Below are 20,133 nucleotides of genomic sequence, written 5' to 3' on the forward strand. Positions count from 1 at the left end.
TCAGCTTCCTGAGTAGCCAGGACTACAAGTGCGCGCCACTATGCCTGGCTAATTTTTGTATTTTTAGTAGACACAGGGTTCAGGTGATCCACCCACCTCAGCCTCCTAAAGTGCTGGGATTACAGGCGTGAGCCACTGCGTCCGACCTAAAATTTCTTTTAGTGTTTTAAAAATCTATATTTTGTTCTAGTATTCGGTCTTTTATTGTTTTATGCATATGTTAATGCTCTTGCCCCCTGTTTTTTTTTTTTTTTTCATTTTTATTTTAAATGAGGTGGGGTTCTTGCTAGGTTGCCTCAAACCTGGCCTCAAGCTATCTTTCAAGTAGCTTCCCAAGTAGCTTCCCTACTCAAGCTAGCTTCCCAAGTAGCTGAAACTGCAGGTGTGGGTCACCATGCCTGGCTTTTTTTTTTTTTTTTTGATTTGGAGTCTCGCTTTGTTGCCCGGGCTGGAGTGCTGTGGCGCGATCTCGGCTCACTGCAAGCTCCGCCTCCCGGGTTCACGCCATTCTCCTGCCTCAGCCTCCCGAGTAGCTGGGACTACAGGCGCCCACCAACACGCCTGACTAATTTTTTGTATTTTTTTAGTAGAGAGGGGGTGTCACTGTGTTAGCCCCCATCCTGGTCTCGATCTCCTGACCTTGTGATCCGCCCACCTCGGCCTCCCAAAGTGCTGGGGTTACAGGCGTTAGCCACTGCGCCCGGCCATGCCTGGCTATTTTTATTAATTTTTTTTTTTTAATGAGATGGGGTCTGTGTCCCCTGTTTTAAAAATTTACTTTTGCCTTGGTCTGCCAGTTTTTTTTTAAACTTTTCCTTTGGTGCAGCTGGTTTGCCATTTTTTAATGGTTTCTTTGACTCTCACCTATTGCTTATATACCAATCAATGAACTTTTTTCTATTTTTACCCTTTCTCTCTATTCTCCTTCAATTTTAATTAAATTAGTAATTTATTTCTATGTCATCAAAACATACAAGATGTATATATTATGTTCCTGAGCTTATCTCCTTCTATTTTTTCCCTTAAATCTACCTTCAATGTATTAATTTTTTACCCTCAGTCCTTTTGCACAAATTTTTCCAGTCATATTTGGTTGGATGAAAATCATCCTCCAGTGGACTTTTTATGGCTCATTAGCAGAGTGTTCCTTCATTGAGGGGATTTGTATTGAGTTTGTTAAAATCCTTACTTTGGTGATTATGCTGTGGTTATGAAAGACAAAATCTTTTTAATTAGGAAATATACCCTGAAGTTTTTAGGGGCAAAGAACATGATGTCTCAACTTATTCTCAGATAATTCATGAAACACACACACACACACACACACACACACAGAAGTAAATAATAGTAATTGTGGAATCTGCTGAAAGGTACATAGAATTTCTTGGAACTTTTTTGTAAATTTGAAATGACATCAAAATTATATAAACAATAAGTGTGGCGCAGGTCCAAGTAGACAGGCAGTGGACTCATGGTGCGTACGTAAGCCCTGTGGCATGTGCTGTCTCAGGGTGACGGGCAGAGGACACCACACCCTTCGACAACCTGGGGCAAACAACACAGTGGAGGAGGAAGTACAGTCCTTACTTGCTTCACAACAAGTTGAGGTAGGAGAATCTCACCAGCAAAGTGCCCCTTGGTGCTACATTAGCGAGTCTGCAGAGGTGGTCACGGCACAGGCCTTGGAGCATAAGCTGTGCTGGGTCAACAGCTGGTAGGAAACATGAAGAGCCAGGTCAGGGCTTTCTTTGCTGTATAATTCAGAATTCCTGATGTGTTTTCCTTGTTGTTTGGTTCTCTTCTTATAATAAAGAGAACGTATGTACCAGACTAAAATAAATTTTATATGGAATTTAAAAATCACATACATGTTATTATCTAATATATTTAATAGTTTCTATAACTGCTGAATGAGTTGATTATTGCTGCTCTTGCCACAGGAGGGAAAAATGGGAAAAATGCTCTTGCCACAGGAGGGAAAAATGAGATGATGGATATGTTAATTTATTTCACTATAGTAACCATTTTACTATATATGTATCTCATAACAAGTTATAGACCTTAAATATACACAATAAAATTTATTTAAGAAACCCAAAACCCTACATCACATTGTACACCTGAAAAATTATCATATTATAATTATATAGTTATATATTATAATTATAGTTATATTTACTTTATATAAATAATATACATTTTATATAAAATTTATTAAATTAATTTTAATACATTTAATTTAATTTTACTGACTCTCTCATCCACCTAAGCCCTGGCAACCATTGATCTTTTTACTGTCTTCATGATTTTGCCTTTTCCAGAATGTCATGTATAGCAGTTGGAATCACAAAGTATGTAGCCTTCTCAGATTGGCTTCTTTTACTTAGTAATATGCATTTAAGTTTCCTCCATGTCTTTTCATAGTTTGGTAACTATGAAAAGTTTTTTATTGCTGAGTAATATTCCATTGTCTGGTTGTACTGCAGTTTATTTACCCATTATTTTACTGAGGACATCTTGGTTGCTTCTAAGTTTTGGCAATTATGAATAAGGTTACTATAAACATGCATGTGCAGGCTTTTGTGTAGATGTAAGTTTCCAACTTACTTGGGCAAATACCAAGGAGCACAATTGCTGGATCATATGGCAAGAGTGTGATTAGTTTTGTAAGAAACTGCTAAACTGTTCCAAAGTGGCCGTAACATTTTACATTCCCATCAGCAATGGATGAGAATTCCTGCTGCTCCACATCCTCACCAGCATTTGGTGTTGTCAGTGTTTTAGATTTTGGCCATTCTAATTGGTGTGTAGTGGCACCTCATTGTTTCAACTCACATTTTCCTAGTAACATATGATGTTGAGCATCTTTCCATGTGATTACTTGCCATCTTATATCTTCTTTGGCAATGTGTCTGTTCAAAAGTCTTTTGCCAATTTTTAATTGAGTTGTTTGTTTTCTGATTGTTGAGTTTTAAGAGTTCTTTGCATATTTTAGATAATAGTGCTTTATCAGATAAGTATTTTGCAAATATTTTCTCCCAGTCTGAGGTTTGTATTCTCTCTTAAGGATTTATGCTTTTTATCAAATCAAAATGCAAACAGAGGCCAGGCGCAGTGGCTCACACTTGTAATCCCAGCACTTTGGGAGGCTGAAGCTGGAGGATTGCTTGAAGTCAGCAGGAGTTCAAGACCAGCCTGGGCAACATAGTGGGACCCCATCTCTACAAAAAAATTTAAAAAAAAATTAGCCACGCATGGTGGTGCGTGCCTGTGGTCCCAGATACTTGGGAAGCTGAGGTGAGTGGATTGCTTGAACTTGGGATGTGGAGGTTGCAGTGAGCTGTGATCGTGCCATTGCACTCCAGCCTGGGTGACAGAGTGAGACCCTGACTGTATAAAAAAAAATGCAAAGAGAGAAACTATCAAATACACAAATCAGAATGTCTATAGGTAAAAGCAATCCAATTCCTTAAAGAGAAACATCAGCATTCTTGCTTTTCACAGCACAAAGGCGTTTATCCCAAGGTCTTCAATAAAGGGGATTTTATGTAATGTAATGAAGAATACTTACCACAGGCTTCTCTTTCCTATGCACCAAACCATGTAATGACCTCGCCTTTGTTTTGAAGGAACCTCAGAGCATTGACTACTGTGTGTTAAGGTTATAAAGCAGGAAGATATTCCTAGAAATAGAATTTATATAAGAAATCTAAGTTGGCCTTTGCAACTCTTCTTTTTTTGCTCTCTCTCCCTCTGCTCTTTGTCTTAACCTCGCCTTCCTCTTTTTAATTTCCTCTCTCCCCCACTTCTTTCTTTTTCTTCTTCCATTCTCTATATTTAACTATTGAGAGGAAAAGAAAAAGGAAATAGAACTCCTTGTTGAAAAGCTGTCTCAAAAGTCTCTGGAATTGTGTTCTCTCACTTCGCTTCCCAAGCGAAGGCCTTAGGCTAAAGTTAATGGCGTGGACTTCTATTCACAATCATTGCATGAAATGTGCTGTCTTCCCAAAAAACCTTATGGTAAATATAACTCCCATGTTTGCAGATGAATTTCTGTATGATCTATTAATATAGATCAATAACATAACATGAATATAGCATCTCAACATCTTTTTCTGCATTCCTTGTCTTTGCCCGTGCCAGCCATATCGGTGGGCATCTGCTCTGGATGGCACCTGAAGGGCATCTCCCTTCCTAAGGGAAGGGAGAGTGTGGCTCTGCCCTGGAGATGTGGTGGGGGTTGGACTGTAGGTGTTACTTAGGGCTATGGGAGTTTGAAACATACATGGCCATAGATACGTGGGGGTAATGAGAGATGATTAGGAGTAAGGGAGAAAGTGTCTGGGCACAAGAGAAATGGTAATTGCATTTATCAGGTTCAGAAAAAGTCCTTAAAAAGTTAGCTGCCCCATGGGATTTGTATCAGAAATCGCCTTGCCAATGATTTGCTGTAGGGAAACAAAGCTGATGTCTCCATTGTACTGCATTACTACCTCTAATGATATACTGTGTGCCTTTTAGGAAAACAAATAAAATTCAGGCCATAGGTTCACTTTAATCTTGTTCTCTGGCTGCTGGAGCTTTTATGGAAACTGTAGTTAGGGCATTTTATATGAACTCCAGAGAGAATGTCTGAAAGCACATCTCAATAACGATGTATCACCACTAGTTCTGGTGTAGAACATCTAGATAACACCTTCATACTTACCCCTGTTTCCAAACATGAGGGAAGTTTGGGAACAGCATATTGTCTCTCTGCTCTGCCCATTGGAGTAGACAACCAGGTAACTGTTAGCACAGAAGCCTCCTTTCTCCCTTCGTCCTGCAAACTTGGTGAGTCCTGGGGAGTGTAGTGAAGAAATAAATATCCCTGGATATTGGTTTAAGCCAGGAGGTGTAGTGTTGTTTTCTTTTGATAACTAACAGAATTGCATGGCCCCTTCTGTTAGTTATCAAAAGAAAAACTAACATGCAGGGGTCGTGCTGTAACGTGTAGCAATTTTGGCTACATATTCGGGGACTCATAAATGACTGTCAGCATCCAAAGCCTTGGCACCAGGTCTTGGAGGTGGCACGTGGGCCAACAAATGACATCCTAGCAATCGAGTTATCCTCCATCTTATGTTTATAGTCATTTATGCAGTATTTTGATGTATCTGACAGTAATGAAACTCCTGGCCTTTAGTGTTCTGTAATAATTCACCATATTGTTGAATCTGTAGGCAGAAAACAGACTCGGAAACATTTACTAGTGCTTATTATGCAGCAAACATCTAACAATGTCTGTCACTGCCTAAGCCACTTCCTCCACCTCTGGCCTTCTATCTTCCCTGCAACCCTCAGCCTCTGCCTGCAGCACAGTCAGTACCCAGTGAGACACCACTTATATAATGAGATGGTAGAGATGGGAGAGAAGTGAACTTAGTTACTTAACTATGCGCAACCAGAGAGAATTTGCCTCATATGGAATCGATAGAACCAGAAAGAAAACGTAAAATTTTATGTCATACTCAGGATATGGAAATTGCTTGGTTGTATTGAACATTCTCTTGAAATAATCCTTGCTTCTCCAATACAGCTGCCTTTAGTGGGTATTAATTTTGCCCACAATGACAAAATGAGTATAAATATCATATGGCAAGCAGTGTCGTGTGGACCTTTCAAAATAGGAGTTAATCGGTTAACTATCAGCAGGACTCCACTTTTAGGAAGGGCCCAACTTTCCCTAGTTGGTAACGCCTTAAGCAGAGAAGAGGTGCATGTGGTCTTGAAAAAAATGTGCACATCATCTGTTCTCTTCCTTCAGTCACTTCGGAATGTGCTGACCTTGCTTTCGTCTGTTGAGTCTTAATGAAGTATCTGCGGGGGTTTTTAGGGCCAGACAAGAAAATGCTCTGAAGGCAGATGAAAGGGAAGTCTGTGCAGGGAGCTCCAGCATAAGCCAGAGAAAAATATCTGTATCTGAAGGCAATCTTCTTTATTGCTTCTGAGCAGGCTCTGAGTGGGAGGGGAAATATCTGCTGCCTTTCAAATGGAAAGGGCCATCGTGTCAAACTCTTGTTGGCATGAGCTGTCCTATAACACCTCTGTCCCTCCCCAGCCATGAGTAAAGATAGAAACAACACAAACTAGAGCTCTCCATTGCTACCTGCCTCTTCTAAAATACCTTCAATTTGGGGGAAGTTTTGTGTTTTATCTAGAAATCAACTATTGTGAATATGTATTTGGAAATACTTGGTTTCTATCAAATATGAAATAAAAAAAATGTAATATTAGCTAGAAAGGTAATGAAAGGTACAAGTTAAACCTTACAAGAAAACACAATGCATTTTTTAAAAATTCCATTTTAGCCCAGGCACGGTGGCTCACGCCTGTAATCGCAGCACTTTGGGAGGCTGAGGCGGGAGGATCATCTGAGATCAGGAGTTCGAGAGCAGCCTGGCTAACACAGTGAAACCCTGTCTCTACCGAAAATACAAAAATTAGGCAGGCATGCTGGCACACGCCTGTAGTCCCAGCTACTCAAGAAGCTGAGGCAAGGCAGGAGAATCGCTTGAACCCAGGAGCGGGAGGTTGCAGTGAGCCAAGATCCTGCCACTGCACTCCAGCCTGGGTGACAGAGTGAGACTCCATCTCAAAAAAAAAAAAAAAATTCCATTTTAATTTTAGATTCAGGGGGTACATGTGCAGGTTTGTTACATGGACAACAATGTGTGTGATGCTGAGCCTGGGGCTTCTATCGATCCCATTACTCAGTTAGTGAACTAAACACCCAACCAGAAGTTTTTCAGCCCTTGCCCCTCCCTCCCTTCTTCCTTTTGGAGTCCTCAGTGTCTATTGTTACCATCTGATATGGTTTGGCTGTGTTCCAACCCAAATAGCAACTTGAATTGTGTCTCCCAGAATTCCCACGTGTTGTGGGAAGGACCCAGGGGGAGGTAATTGAATCATGGGGGCTGGTCTTTCCCGTGCTATTCTTGTGATAGTGAATACGTCTCATGAGATCTAATGGGTTTTTCAGGGGTTTCCACTTTTGCTTCTTCCTCATTTTTCTCTTGCCACTGCCTTGTAAGAAGTGCCTCTCTCCTCCTGCCATGGTTCTGAGGCCTCCCCAGCCACGTGGAACTGTAAGTCCAATTAAACCTCTTTTTCCTCCCAGTTTTGGGTACGTCTTTATCAGCAGCATGAAAATGGACTAATATACCATCCTTATGTCCATGTGTACCCAAAATTTAGCACCCACTTATAAGTGAGAACACACAGTATTTAGTTTTCTGTTTCTGCATTAATCACTTAGGATAATTGCCTCCAGCTGCATTCATGTTCCTGCAAAGGACATGATTTTATTCTTTTTTTTTTTTTTTGGCTGTATAGTATTCTATTGGTGTATATATGCCACAGTTTCTTTGTCTGGTCTACCATGAATGGGCACCTAGCTTGATTCCGTGTGTTTACTATTGTGAATAGTGCTGCAGTGAATGTATGAGTGCATGTGTCTTTTTGGCAGAATGGTTTATTTTACTGGTATATATCCAGTAATGTGATTGCTGGGTCAAATGGTAGTTCTATTTTTAGCTCTTTGAAAAATCTCCAAACTGCTTTTCATAATGGCTGAATTATTTTATGTTCCCACCAACAGCATATAAACATTCCCTTTTCTCCACAGATTTATGAACATCTTTTTTTTTATTTTTTTAATAATAGTCATTTGAATGGTGTGAGATTATATTTCATTGCGGTTTTGAGTTGCATTTCTCCAATGACTAGTGAGGTCGAGAGCCTTTATCATATATTTGTTGGCTGCTTGTATGTCATCTTTTGTGAAGAGTCTGTTCATGTCCTTTACCCACTTTCTAATGGGGTTAATTTTTTTTCTTGTTGATTTGTTTATGTTTCTTATAGATTCAGGATATTAGTCCTTTGTCAGGTGCATAGTTTGCAAGTATTTTCTCCCATTCTGTAAACCTACTGGTGCTAGTTAGTGAGTCTACCTAGAAGAATAAGGCCTTGCCCTTAGGGAGCCTAAGCCCAGTGAGGCAGTCACACTACCCAGTGCAGTATAAAAAGTACTGGAATGGAGTCACATACGACATGCCATTGGGAGGCAGATGAGGCAGGTGCTAAATGTATCTGGAGAAGCTTGGAAAAGTGTCCCTTAGGGAGATGCCTTTCTTAAATAGGTGTAGAACAGAGGAAAGGACATTGTAATCAGAAGAATGGATGCATGCAAAGACAATGATGCTTGCACAGATGACCTGTGCTGGAACAGTGGAAGGCTAAAGGGGCTAGAGCTTTGTGGTGGAGATGGCATGAGGTGAGTCTAGGATCTCCTGGGGATGGGTAAAAATGGGAGGTTGGGAGCATGGAGATAGGATGAGGGTTACAGGGGCATTCCTCAGTCTGAAGGGGGTTCAGTCTGAAGGGGGGCAGTGCTGGGGCACAGGAGGCAAATGGTGCCTATAAATAGCTTGGATGTTGAATAAGTAAAATAGGTTAGATGTCAGCACAATAAAAATTTATTGTTGTCTTCTATCACCCTGTATAATTTATTCAGTGGGATAAGAACCCCTTGCTTTGGGATGAAGACCCAGGCAGGCCCATGACTTTTCTGCTTGCTCGTAGTAAGTTGACCGTTCTGCTTCAGTGCAGCTGCATCAGACCAATCTGTTTCAACTTTTATGTACAGTTGTGAGTTGTTTTTCAGTTGCCATGCCCCCTGCTCCCAGTTGAAGGTCATATAATCTGAGCATGCCCAGAGAAACCAGCGTGTAACCACTAGTAGAACCTGAGCGCTCAGACCGAGGAGTGGGGACTGTATTAAGAAGTGGACATCGTCTGGCAGGAGCCCTGGTGCCACCCCATGGCAGGATCCAGTCCCTTATGCCTACTGCCATCACCTCACCGTAAGATCCAATCAGATCACACCTCATTGCCCTCTGTCTATAAAACTTGCCCCAGCCCTCAGCTCAGGGAGACAGATTTGAGCATTTCCTCTTGTCTCCTTGCTAGTCAACACACAATAAATCTTTCTCTTTGCAAAAGCCTGGTGCTTTGATGTTTGACTTTCCATTACTGTAGGCAAATGAACTCAGTTTGGTTCTGCGACATTAATTTGCATACACTCAGTCCCAATTTAGTATTTAAAAATGTCCAGTTTATTCTGGGTGTGGTGGCTCATGCCTATAATCCCAGCACTTTGGGAGGCAGAGGTGGGAGGATTGCTTTAGACCCAGAGTTCAAGACCAGCTTGGACAACGTAGTGAGACCCCTGTCTTTGCAAAAAATAAAAAAATTATCTGGGCATGGTTGCATGTGCCTGTGGTCTCAGCTGAGGTGGGAGGATCACCTGAGCTGAGGAGTTCGAGGCTGCAGTGAGCAGAAATCATGCCACTGCACTCCAACTTGGGCGATAGAGTGAAACCCTGTTTCAGAAAACAAACAAATGAACAAACAAAAAACAAATAAAAATGTCGAGTTTAATATATTAATTAACACTTAAATCTTCATTCAAAGATAAGACCACTCCCCCTCCACCTTCCAGCAGGGGTTCTTAAGAGTTCCTTCCCCAACCTTAGATGGTCTGGAGCATGTGCGAGGGAGCCAGGAGTCTCTGAAGGGGAGGCCTAGGCGAGTTCTTCTGTGGCTCTCCATTCTTCTCTTCCACTCTCTAGATGCCATTTTGACCCCAGGAGATGGTGAGTGCTTTCTGTGCCTGGATGGCGTCACCCTCTCCAGGCTTGACAGATGTTTAAAGCTGTCTTTCTTCCTTGTGACACTTTTGTGAGCCCAGCGAGTGCCCATGCATTTCACGTGGTAGCCTGTAGATGAGGATGATGCCTCCCCTCTGGCTTGCTGATGCCCCTCTGCTGCTGGTCCTCACAGCACAGCATTCCTTACAGACTTACCCTGTTGGAAGCACCTTGTCCTCCTAGGTGGTCCCCTTGGTTGGGAATTAAAATGGCTCCAAGTCCACCTTCTCTGGCCCTTGGTCCCCAGGGATCCCCAGGAGACCTGTACACATCTTCACCTTGGCAAACTCCGGGCATGTAGGCCCCTCCTATTCGGGTGCAACAGCCTCTGTCCTGCTGCTACCGGCTGCGTTATTTCCCGAGACACAAGTTGGACACACATCTCCGGTGGCTCACAAGACATTTCCTACCCTCTGAGTGGTCCCTTGGAAGCCCCACATTGAGCTTGAGGTGAAGATGGAAGTACCTCACAGGGTGAACAGGGTTCCAAATAAGTCTCATTACAGATTTTCTATTTCTCCACCTCAATCCTTCTATATTCCAGAGGCAAAGACTTCTAAGGGTGGAGAAGAGAAGGGCAGGGCCAAGAGTTTGGGAACCAGTTTTTGGACCTGCATTTGTAAATTTTGGCTATGGTCACATGGCACCTCTCTTTGAAGTTTTACAATTGTTATTTCTTGGGATATCTATGAAAATGTTAATGTTAATGTCCTATTAAGTGTGTAACAATCTGGCTGTGTGCAGTATAAAAAGCTGGCTTGGAATATGTTGGGGAAAGGGAGGAATGGCATGGGTAGTTAACATAATAAAATCATTGAGAATTCATAATGTGTTAGGTGCTGTTCTAAGCATGTTGTAAAGAATAACGATCTAAATGGTCATAACTCTGTGAGTTGATAGGAATATTCCCTCCCCTGCTTTTTTATAGATTAGGAGAGAGGTACAGAGGAGATAGTTAGCTTGCCCAAGATGGCAGAGCTGAATAGCATAGCTGGGATTCCAGTCTGGGCAGTCTGACCCTACAGAATGGACTAAATTGCTATGTATCATTGGCTGCCAGAAATTATGCTAAGTGCTTTACATAGATTCTCTCACTGACGTGCTTTTAATAACTCTATGAGGTATATGTTACTATAGTCTGTATTTTATATGAAGAAACAATCTCAGGGAGGTTAATTAATTTGCTGAAGGTCATCTAATCAATGAGTGGTGGGGCTGGAATACTAATCCAGGTGGAATTGATTCCCGAGGTTTGCTGGTCGCTGCTGCAATACTGGTTTCCTCACAGAGAATGAAGATGTGCGACTTTTCCAGGAAAATGCAAAGGTGCAGACTCTGCATCCAGACCCCCTGAGGTTCAAGTCATGACCCCTCACTTCCCAGCTGGGGGGCATTGGTGTCTGGCTCCAGAATGTCCTCTTAATTGCTCTGCTATGTAGAGCTCCTACTCCGTGCCTCAGTCAACTTCACCTGTAAACTGACCATAATAATTGTATGACAGTGTAGGGTCATTATGAAGATAAAATGAGTTAATATGGGTAAAATGCTTAGAAGAATGTTTAGTGCATAATAAATGCTCTATAAATGTTAACTGTTATTGTTACACTAATTCAAGATGGAATCAGAACATTTTGCTGGGTGCAGTGCCTCAAACATGTAATCCCAGAACTTTGGGAGGACCACTTGAGCACAGGAATTTGAGACAAGCCTGGGCAACATAGTGAGACACTCTCTACAAAACAAACAAACAAACAAAAAAATTAGCCAGAGGTGGTGGCATGTGCCTGTAGTCCTAGCTACTTGGAAGGATGAAGCCAGAGAAGAGCTTGAGCCTGGGAGATCCAGGCTGTAGTGAGCAGTGATTATGCCGCTGCACTCCAGCCTGCACAACAGAGTAAGATCCTATCAAAAAAAAAAAAAAAAAGAGAAAATTTTACTGTTACCGTGTGTCTGTTCCTAGACTATTAGTACATAGAAAGTACAAATTTAGGTTGTGGAAATTATGCTTTGTTCCTCAATGTTCCCAGGGACTAAGAACTTCCATACAGAAGCAAATTGGCTCTCTGTCAAGGTGGTAATAATTATTAGGTTTCTTTTACTGTTTGCTTATCCTGTCACCTGAATACACCCATAAGCAATTACATAGGAATCAAGAACTGCAGTTTTTCTTGTAAAGAGCAAATTTGAATAGTCAGATATCTTGCTCTGATCAAAAGCTTGGCTGAGAAAAAATGATGTTTATGAACAGGATAGAGTCTTCCCCTAATTTATTCCTTCCTTCCTTCCTTCCTTCCTTCCTTCCTTCCTTCCTTCCTTCCTTCCTTCCTTCCTTCCTCCTTCCCTCCCTCTCTCTCTTTCTCTCTTTCTTTTTTTCTCTCTTTCTCTCTTTCCTCTCTCTCTCTCTCTCTCTCTGCCTTTCTTTCTTTTTTTTTTTTTGACAGAATCTTGCTCTGTTACCCAGGCTGGAGTGCAATGGCGAGATCTCGGCTCACTGCAACCTCCGCCTCCTTGGTTCGAGTGATTCCCTACCTCAGCCTCCTGAGTACAGGTACCTGCCACTACGCCCAGCTAATTTTTTGTATTTTTTACTAGAGACAGGGTTTCACCATATTGGTCAGGCTGGTCTTGAACTCCTGACCTCAGGCTGCCTTGGCCTCCCAAAGTGTTGAGATTGCAGGCATGAGCCACTGCACCCGGCCCCCTAATTTCATCATATGGATCCAATCTGTTCTTTTGACTTAGATGGATTCATTTACTCAGGGGCAGACTATTGAGTGCACAATTCTAGATACTGGGGATACATCCAGGAACAAACAAAACAGACAAAACCACCTGCCATCAGGGAGCGTATGTTGCAGTGGGTGAGAGAGACAATGAACAAATATGTGAAATATATAGTAAGTCAGAAGGAAATAAAGGAATAGTGAAAGATAGGAAAAGAGGGGAAATGCTAGGGGGTTTGCAATTTTGAATAGAGTAGTGTTGGCCCAAAAGGAAGAAGCTGAGGCCCAAATGATAATTTAAATAGTCTACTAGACCCAAAGTGAGGACAGTTGCCCAGAAGGCTCAGAGCCACATAACCTTGGACATGAGCTTCCTTTGGCCTTTGTTACAAGTAAGTTTCTAAAGGCAAAAAGGGGACAGGGAGCGTATCAGCGGACAACTGATACAAAGTTTTTTGTCAGATATTTTCACTGGTTTACAGAAATAATATTGATTTGTGATTGGCTATCCATGGTTAAGCTATAGGGTGGGTTATAAGTGTCTGGTGTGGCATTATTAGGCTAATTTACATCTACTGTGGCAACAACAAGCAGTTTCAAGAGATGAATACACAGCTCAAAGTGGGGAGTAGAGTGTGATTGCTGTCTGATTTTAATGTCTTTCTGGGCTTGAGAGAGAGATATATATAAATATAATATTATAATAATATAATCATATTATAGTATATATAATATGTTATATATTTTTATAGTATATATAATATATATTTATATAATATATTATTATAATGATATACAATATATTATATAAATATATATTATAATGACATATATATTATATGTGATATATATAATATATATCACATATATAATATATAAATATAATATATATTATATAATATATAATGTATAATATAATATATTATTATATAATATATAATAATATAATAATATACAATATAATATTATTATATATAATAATATATAATATAATATTATAATATATAATAATATATAATATAATATTATATTATATATAACAATATATAATATATTATTGTATTATATATAACAATATATATTATTGTATTATATATAACAATATATATTATTATATTATATATAATTATATATACATAATATATAATATAATATATTATATATAATATAGAATATAATAATATATAATATATAATATAATTATATATAATATATAATTATATAATATACAATAATATATTATAGTATATTATATATAATATATAATATAATATTATATAGTATATACAATAATATATAATATTATTATATTATAATAATAATATAGCTGTTGCTGGGGGAGGGATGCTATCCTTGCACAGGGCAAATGGTTGATGATGATGCCATTCATTTATATTGCACTTTGCAGTTTAGGAAGGTCTTTACAAATCTACATGGCAGGGCCGTGTCTTATTCATCACTGCTTCCCCAGTGCCTAGCAGACATCCTGTGCTCCCTGAGTGTTGAACATTCATTTTCTCATTTCTTCTCCTACAACAAACCTATAGGACAGTCAGGCAAGAAATCTTTATTTCCATTTAATATTTATTTCATTTAGGATCATTAGGAGTGAAATCACAGAGCCGCCTGCTAAGTGGTGAAGCTACTGGACTTTTAAGTCCTGTGGGTCTTTCCCTTCTATCTTGGAAGGTATTAAGAAGCCCAGTCCTTTCCTACAGAATGATTGGCAGATAATTAACTTTTTGGTGGTGCCGTTTATTTGAGAGGTAAACGAAACCAGTAGTGCCTCATGCCTAGAATTTGAAGGCCAAATTAAATTTTCTCCTATCGTGTGTGGCTAGAGAAAATAAGAAATCCTGTTAAAGTATAAACTCAGGCATGAAACTGTTGCTCTGAATCTTGTTATCATTTAACATTGAACAAAGCGAACCAGAACAAGACATGCAAAGGCCTTTTACATGCTGCTTAAAGTTACACACCCAGGAAATCATATGCACATGTCTATGTGCACATACATTGAATTGCAAGTTCAGTGGCTTTAAATCTTCTTTCCATATGCAGAATTTTTATAAGCAGCAAATGCTACAGATGTGACTTTGGGGTTTAATGAAAAAATTTGTATGGATAACATATGTTTCCTTTATAGAAAACAATCTCAGCCTGTTGAAATTGCCTGAGTTTTCAAGTGATCGTGGAATAATTTGATTTGACTCTTAAGTCTTAGTTTCCTTCCCATTTTTTTTGGTGTGTCATGGTTCCTGGGAGAGTCTTATTTTTAATTCTGGAGTCCTGTTCTAAATAAGAAAAAGGAATACTTCTTTATTTGTAGTTGATTCTATGTAAATATGTCTTTGACAAATGTGAAAATGTTTTAGGTGCTGGGAGGTACATGGTATATGTAAAATTGTAACTTCATGTTCTTTGCTTCAACTTTGGGGGACAGATTTAATTAGCAGCCTAACTGAGTTTCTTTAGCCTAATTGAGTTTCTCTGCTCTTGGAAGAGCATGCGTTAGGGAAATTATCTTAGAATAAGTTAGAAGCGAGCCTGCAATTTTCTTGATCTTGAATGCCCTTTGGGAGAAATGGTATGAGTTAGTATTAAGTTACTCTATTTGAAGATTCATCATCTTTCAAACACACACCTTAAAGAGGCCATACATTTCTCATAGAACTTACTACAGGGTCTGATTTTATATTTTAGTCTCATCTTGGATATGCCCTAAACTCTGCAATATGTCTCCTGTAGCTTTTCTAAAGGATCAGCAGTTTGAGATTTCTAAGGAAACCAAATTAATTTTGGCAGAAATAGTTAAAGCCATGGTGAGAATGGGGTTCAAGACACTCTACCCCAAAATATGGTACCTTGCGATATTGAATATTTTAAACTGAGGGTCTTGGAGAAAATGGCAGAAGTAGGAAGGTCACTCTGATCTCCTCCCATTCTGCTCTTACCTTTCTCCCATGGAGCAGGTTATAAAACCCAGGAAGGATTTTCTGATGTTCCTCTGAAGCAGGTCATAAGCCCCTCATGGGAGAGGTATCTTCTCTATACCTGGAGAAAAGGAGCATTCTTATTTCCAAAGGCACAGGGTCACAAGAGAGGAATCTGCATGAACAGGCCTTGTTTACTTATGCTATGGAGCAAATGGGCTCACTGCCTGATGCATACAGAAGTGAAGAACTATGGCACCAGTTTTTGAGAAAAGAAGGCCTTTATTGTAAGACCAGTCAGCAAAGGAGGCAGGAGGGGGCTCAAATCTGCCTCTCTAATTTGAGGTCTGGGGCAAGTTTTAAAGAATCAGAGGGCAAGGGAAAGGATTGAAGAGTGTTGGCTGAGCGGGGTCTGATTGGAGGCCTTCACATTTCACCATTTACAGTAAGATATGTTACGGCAGATTTTAGCCCTGGATCTTCGGGGCCAACAGACCTCTTGCTTCTGAAAGAGCTATGTGTTTAGGTTCTGGTCATGTTCTAGAACTTCTTGGTTCTGAGGGGAGGGAATCATTGGTTCCGGGTGTGTTAGAGGTAAAAGCTTTTTCTATTGCACATGCCCGTGCTACAGAATTTGTAGTTTTTGGCTCTGTTATACCCAAAAGGTAACTTGACAATTTGTTATCAACAGAATAGGCCCAGTTTGGGCTGGTTTCATGGTTACACTTACACCCTTTACCCTATCACATTATTCTACCATGACTCTCCATTTTTCTTCAAAAACCTACTATAAAAAGCACTCAGATTTAACTGTTTCTTTGGGTCTTCGTTTCCTCATGAAGGGTCTCATGACACATAAAACTTATATTAAAAGCATTTGTATGCTTTTCTCTTGTTAGTCTTTCTTTTGTTAGAGGGTCCCCAGCCATGAATGTAGAAGGGTAGGTAGGGGAGAAAAAGTGATATTCTTTCTTCCCCCATTGCAAGGTTCATGGCTGACACCACCACAACAAAAGATGGACTAACAAGATAAAAGCATGGCACATTTAAAAAATACTAGTTTTACATGACCTGGGAGTCTTCAGAAATGAAGACCCAGAGACCCAGGGAAAACTGTGTTTTTGTGCTTAGGTTCAATGAGCAGTGGACACTTGTGTAGAAGAATGACTGGATAAAAAAGGGGGTATGATTTAATGTTAATAAACTAGGGGGAGTTGAGCAGAACATGTTTGTTCAGATTCTTCTTGTCCTCTCTGGGTAACATTCCATCCCTGTAGGTATAGGGCAGGACACCTGTCACATGTGGGACTTCAAAAGATGGGGGGATAGAGGAGGTCAGAGATACCTTTCTGCTTATGCACTTTTCTCAGTTTCCTTCATCTTAAAACACTCAGTATGCCAAGGTGACATAATTTGGGATAGCATTTCCTGCATCCTATCAGGTAGAAGAAAAAAAATATTTTTCCTTCAGTGACAGTTTTTGGTAAATAATAGCAAGAAAACCTTTTCTGAAGTTATAGTTAAAAATATGAGCATCACCTGAAAGTCATTTGGACAGATGCATTTAAGTTGACAAGTCTTTTTGGTTTATACTTTAATTATTATTTGCTACTTTTATTGCGTTATGGTCACCAACTGTGGCCTGGATTATTTTTTGAATTTTCCATTTATGAAGTTTTCTTTTTCACTTACTATATAGTTGACTTTTGTAAATGCTACCTGATGGCTTAAAAAGTGGCATATTATCTGCTTTTGGTTAATGTATCTTTGTATGTTTGTGTGGAATACTGTGTGTCTAATTCTAGGCAGCACAAATATATGTTGGTAGAATAACACCTGGTTTTTGGCAATATAATATTTCTCTTTCTGTAAAAATGTGTGACACTTTTGCTTGGTATAAAATTCTTGCTTGGTATAAAAACATATTCGTTAGATAAAAGATATTCGACAATCTCACTGAGAGACACGAAGGCTACTTGGGTTATGGGGAGGTATGTCATCCCCTTTGCAAATTATGAGTATTTTTGGATCATCTGTAGCTGGGGGCAGGACTCTTTCAAAGGAGAGGCGATGTGGGCTATAGTGAGGAGACACTGTTTCTCAAATTCCATGTGAATCTCTGGCCTTCAGGGGCATTTGATACGTGAACGTGGCTAAAGGATCTCAAGATGAGAAACTTGCTTCATTGTTAAAGTTATGGGCTCAGCTGTCAGGGTCATACTCTGCACAGAGCAGGAGGAAAGTTCCTAGGCATTCCTGCCTGCCAACAGGGCCAGCCGCTGGTGCTGCACAATGGATCCTTAGAAGATGAACCTGGAAGAGAAGGCAAGTAGACTTTTCAGCAGGAGTCTGCTGGGAGAAAGGAGTGCCATTCTCTCTGGTGTAAAAGAATCTTCATGGTTGGGTGCGGTGGCTCACGCTTGTAATCCCAGCACTTTGGGAGGCCGAGACGGGTGGAACACAAGGTCAGGAGTTTGAGACCAGCCTGGCCAATATGGTGAAACCCTGTCTCAACTAAAAATACAAAAATTAGCCAGGCGTGGTGGCGGGCACCTGTAGTCCCAGCTACTCGGGAGTCTGAGGCAGGAGAATCGCTTGGACTTGGGAGGCAGAGGTTGCAGTGAGCTGAGATCATGCCACTGCACTCCAGCCTGGGTGACAGAGCGAGACTCTGTCTCAAAAAAAAAGAAAAAGAAAAAGAAAAAAAAAGATTCTTCATTTGGGACTGTCACTAATATGGAAGAACGGGGATATTTACCCCGTTGACATTGAGAATGTATGTACATTTAGGTAATTTTTGACCTACTATAAATGTTTGTTAGTTTTGCTTTCTAGTAAGATATCTTTTTTGATATATATATTGGCTACTGTGATAAAAAATTTAGGGAAATAATGTCATACTATTGTGGTTGTCCAGTGGTAAAATTGTCCTGAAATTTCTTAGAAGGGTTCCTCAGGCAAATGAGATATGAAGCCACCTTAAAATAAAATCACCTGGGCCACTCTTATCTTGATTTTTTTTTTTTAGCATTAATATTTTCCTACTGTTTGAAGTCCACCATTTTCTTAAGACTTTTAAAGTGTGAAATGGCACACCTGCATCCAAAGGATTCGACCAGTGGGGCACCTGCTGCATTTAAAATCTAGGGCTCTCAAATAAATCCAGCTTTACTTAAGCCTGACCAAATAAGTATTGAAAATCTTAATGAAAAGGAGCTTGATGTTATTGGCTTATTTTCCACTTTATTGAGTTTCTGTCACAGTTGCCTGAACAATGTTCGATGACTTAATTTAATTTATTTTCTTTCTGGGGGACAGGCAGGAAAGAAATTCACACAGAAAGAGGAAGACCTTAAAGGTAAACAGATGTATGTAGAAAATTAGAATGTGGACTGGCAAATCTAAGATAATTGTACTGAAATACTGATTAGACATTACAAAAGGGGCTGAGTTCTCTGATAAGCTTACTTGAAATTATAAATACTTTAACAAATAAGTTGAAGAAAAAGTGATCTACTAGAAAAGAACACCAGCCAGGAACCAGGAGACTTGGTTTGTGTTTTAAAAAGCCCATAAATTCATGGGCTCCAGAATTTAAGCCTTAAAGGGACTACTTCCTAGCTCTGTGACTTTGGGCAGGTTGCCTTCTTTTTCTGCAAAATGGGGATGGGAATTGTAACCTACCTGATAGATATTTTTCAAGAACAAAATGAGTAAGTACATGCGAAATGCATAGAACAGTGCCTGGCAAATAGTTAAGTGCTCAATAAATGTTGAAAATTATAATTTCCAAGTAATTTAATTTTTTTTAGAGCTCAGCTTTCTCATTTGTTTAAGAATAATTCTTCCTGCCCTTCTTGTATGGGCAATAAGAAGGTTTTACCCTCATTTGTTTAAGAATAGTTTTTTCCTGCCCTTCTTGTATGGGTAATAAGAATAGTTTTTCCTGCCCTTCTTGTACGGGAATAAGAAAGATCACTTGCCTGAAAGAATTTTCTCTCCAGGAGGAGAGATAAAACATTAAAGTCAAGCGCTCAAAGCATCAGACGTCACTAAAAGACATCCGAGGTCACTTTGGTCTGGGAGGATAATGAAAGTCTTCCTAACCTTAGTGCCAGCACTGGTTGCTGAACTTGAGTATATAAAGTAATGACATTTAGAAAACAATTTTGGAAACGAAACACAGATGTCCAACTTTATTTTGCCAAATAATGGGGTTAAAAACCTCTCTCTAGGCTGGGCATAGTGTCTCATGCCTGTAATTCCAGCACTTTGGGAGGCCGAGGTGGTAGGATCATGAGGTCAAGAGATCGAGACCATCCTGGCCAACATGGTGAAACCCTGTCTCTACTAAAAATACAAAAATTAGCTGAGCGTGGTGGCGGGCGCCTGTAATCCCAGCTACTCGGGAGGCTGAGGCAGGGGAATCGCTTGAACCCGGTAGGTGGAGGTTGCAGTGAGCCAAGATCGCGCCACTGCACTCCTGCCTGGCGACAGGGTAAGACTCCGTCTCAAACAAAACAAAACAAAACAAAACAAAACAAAACAAAACAAAACCTCTCTCTCTTGCCATCAAATACCACCATTAATTTATAATAGAAGTCACTTGAATATGGAAGGAGTTATCTCAGTCCAAAGACAGTGCTTTAAATTGAATCTATTTACTTTTACGGAATCTTGTTCGGTTGTAATTTTTCTTTTACCCCTTTGACTTAGGTGGAATTTAAT

The 20,133-nt window shown here is 39.9% G+C and overlaps 1 long non-coding RNA gene across 4 annotated transcripts in view, besides 1 other annotated feature; it reads left to right on the plus strand.

The window, feature by feature from the left end:
- LOC101928387 (uncharacterized) overlaps positions 1 to 20,133 on the plus strand; it is a 120,046-nt gene that overhangs the window by 65,836 nt on the left and 34,077 nt on the right. Inside the window, exon 1 of one of the 4 annotated variants that reach the window (XR_007063237.1) lies at positions 681 to 1,607. The exons of the other annotated variants lie outside the window; for them this stretch is intronic. This is a non-coding gene — a long non-coding RNA (uncharacterized LOC101928387). Of the gene's footprint in view, positions 1 to 680; positions 1,608 to 20,133 lie in introns of those variants that run through there. 4 annotated transcript variants of the gene reach the window in all.
- Positions 9,325 to 9,825: an enhancer, noted in NCBI's record as "H3K27ac hESC enhancer chr12:19781138-19781638 (GRCh37/hg19 assembly coordinates)". NCBI's record gives its function as "activates a minimal SCP1, AML or CMV promoter by ChIP-STARR-seq in primed H9 embryonic stem cells {active_cell/tissue: H9 hESC(primed)}" and the evidence as "EXISTENCE:reporter gene assay evidence [ECO:0000049][PMID:30033119]".

Source organism: Homo sapiens, chromosome 12, assembly GCF_000001405.40.
Source record: "Homo sapiens chromosome 12, GRCh38.p14 Primary Assembly".
Taxonomy (NCBI): domain Eukaryota; kingdom Metazoa; phylum Chordata; class Mammalia; order Primates; family Hominidae; genus Homo; species Homo sapiens.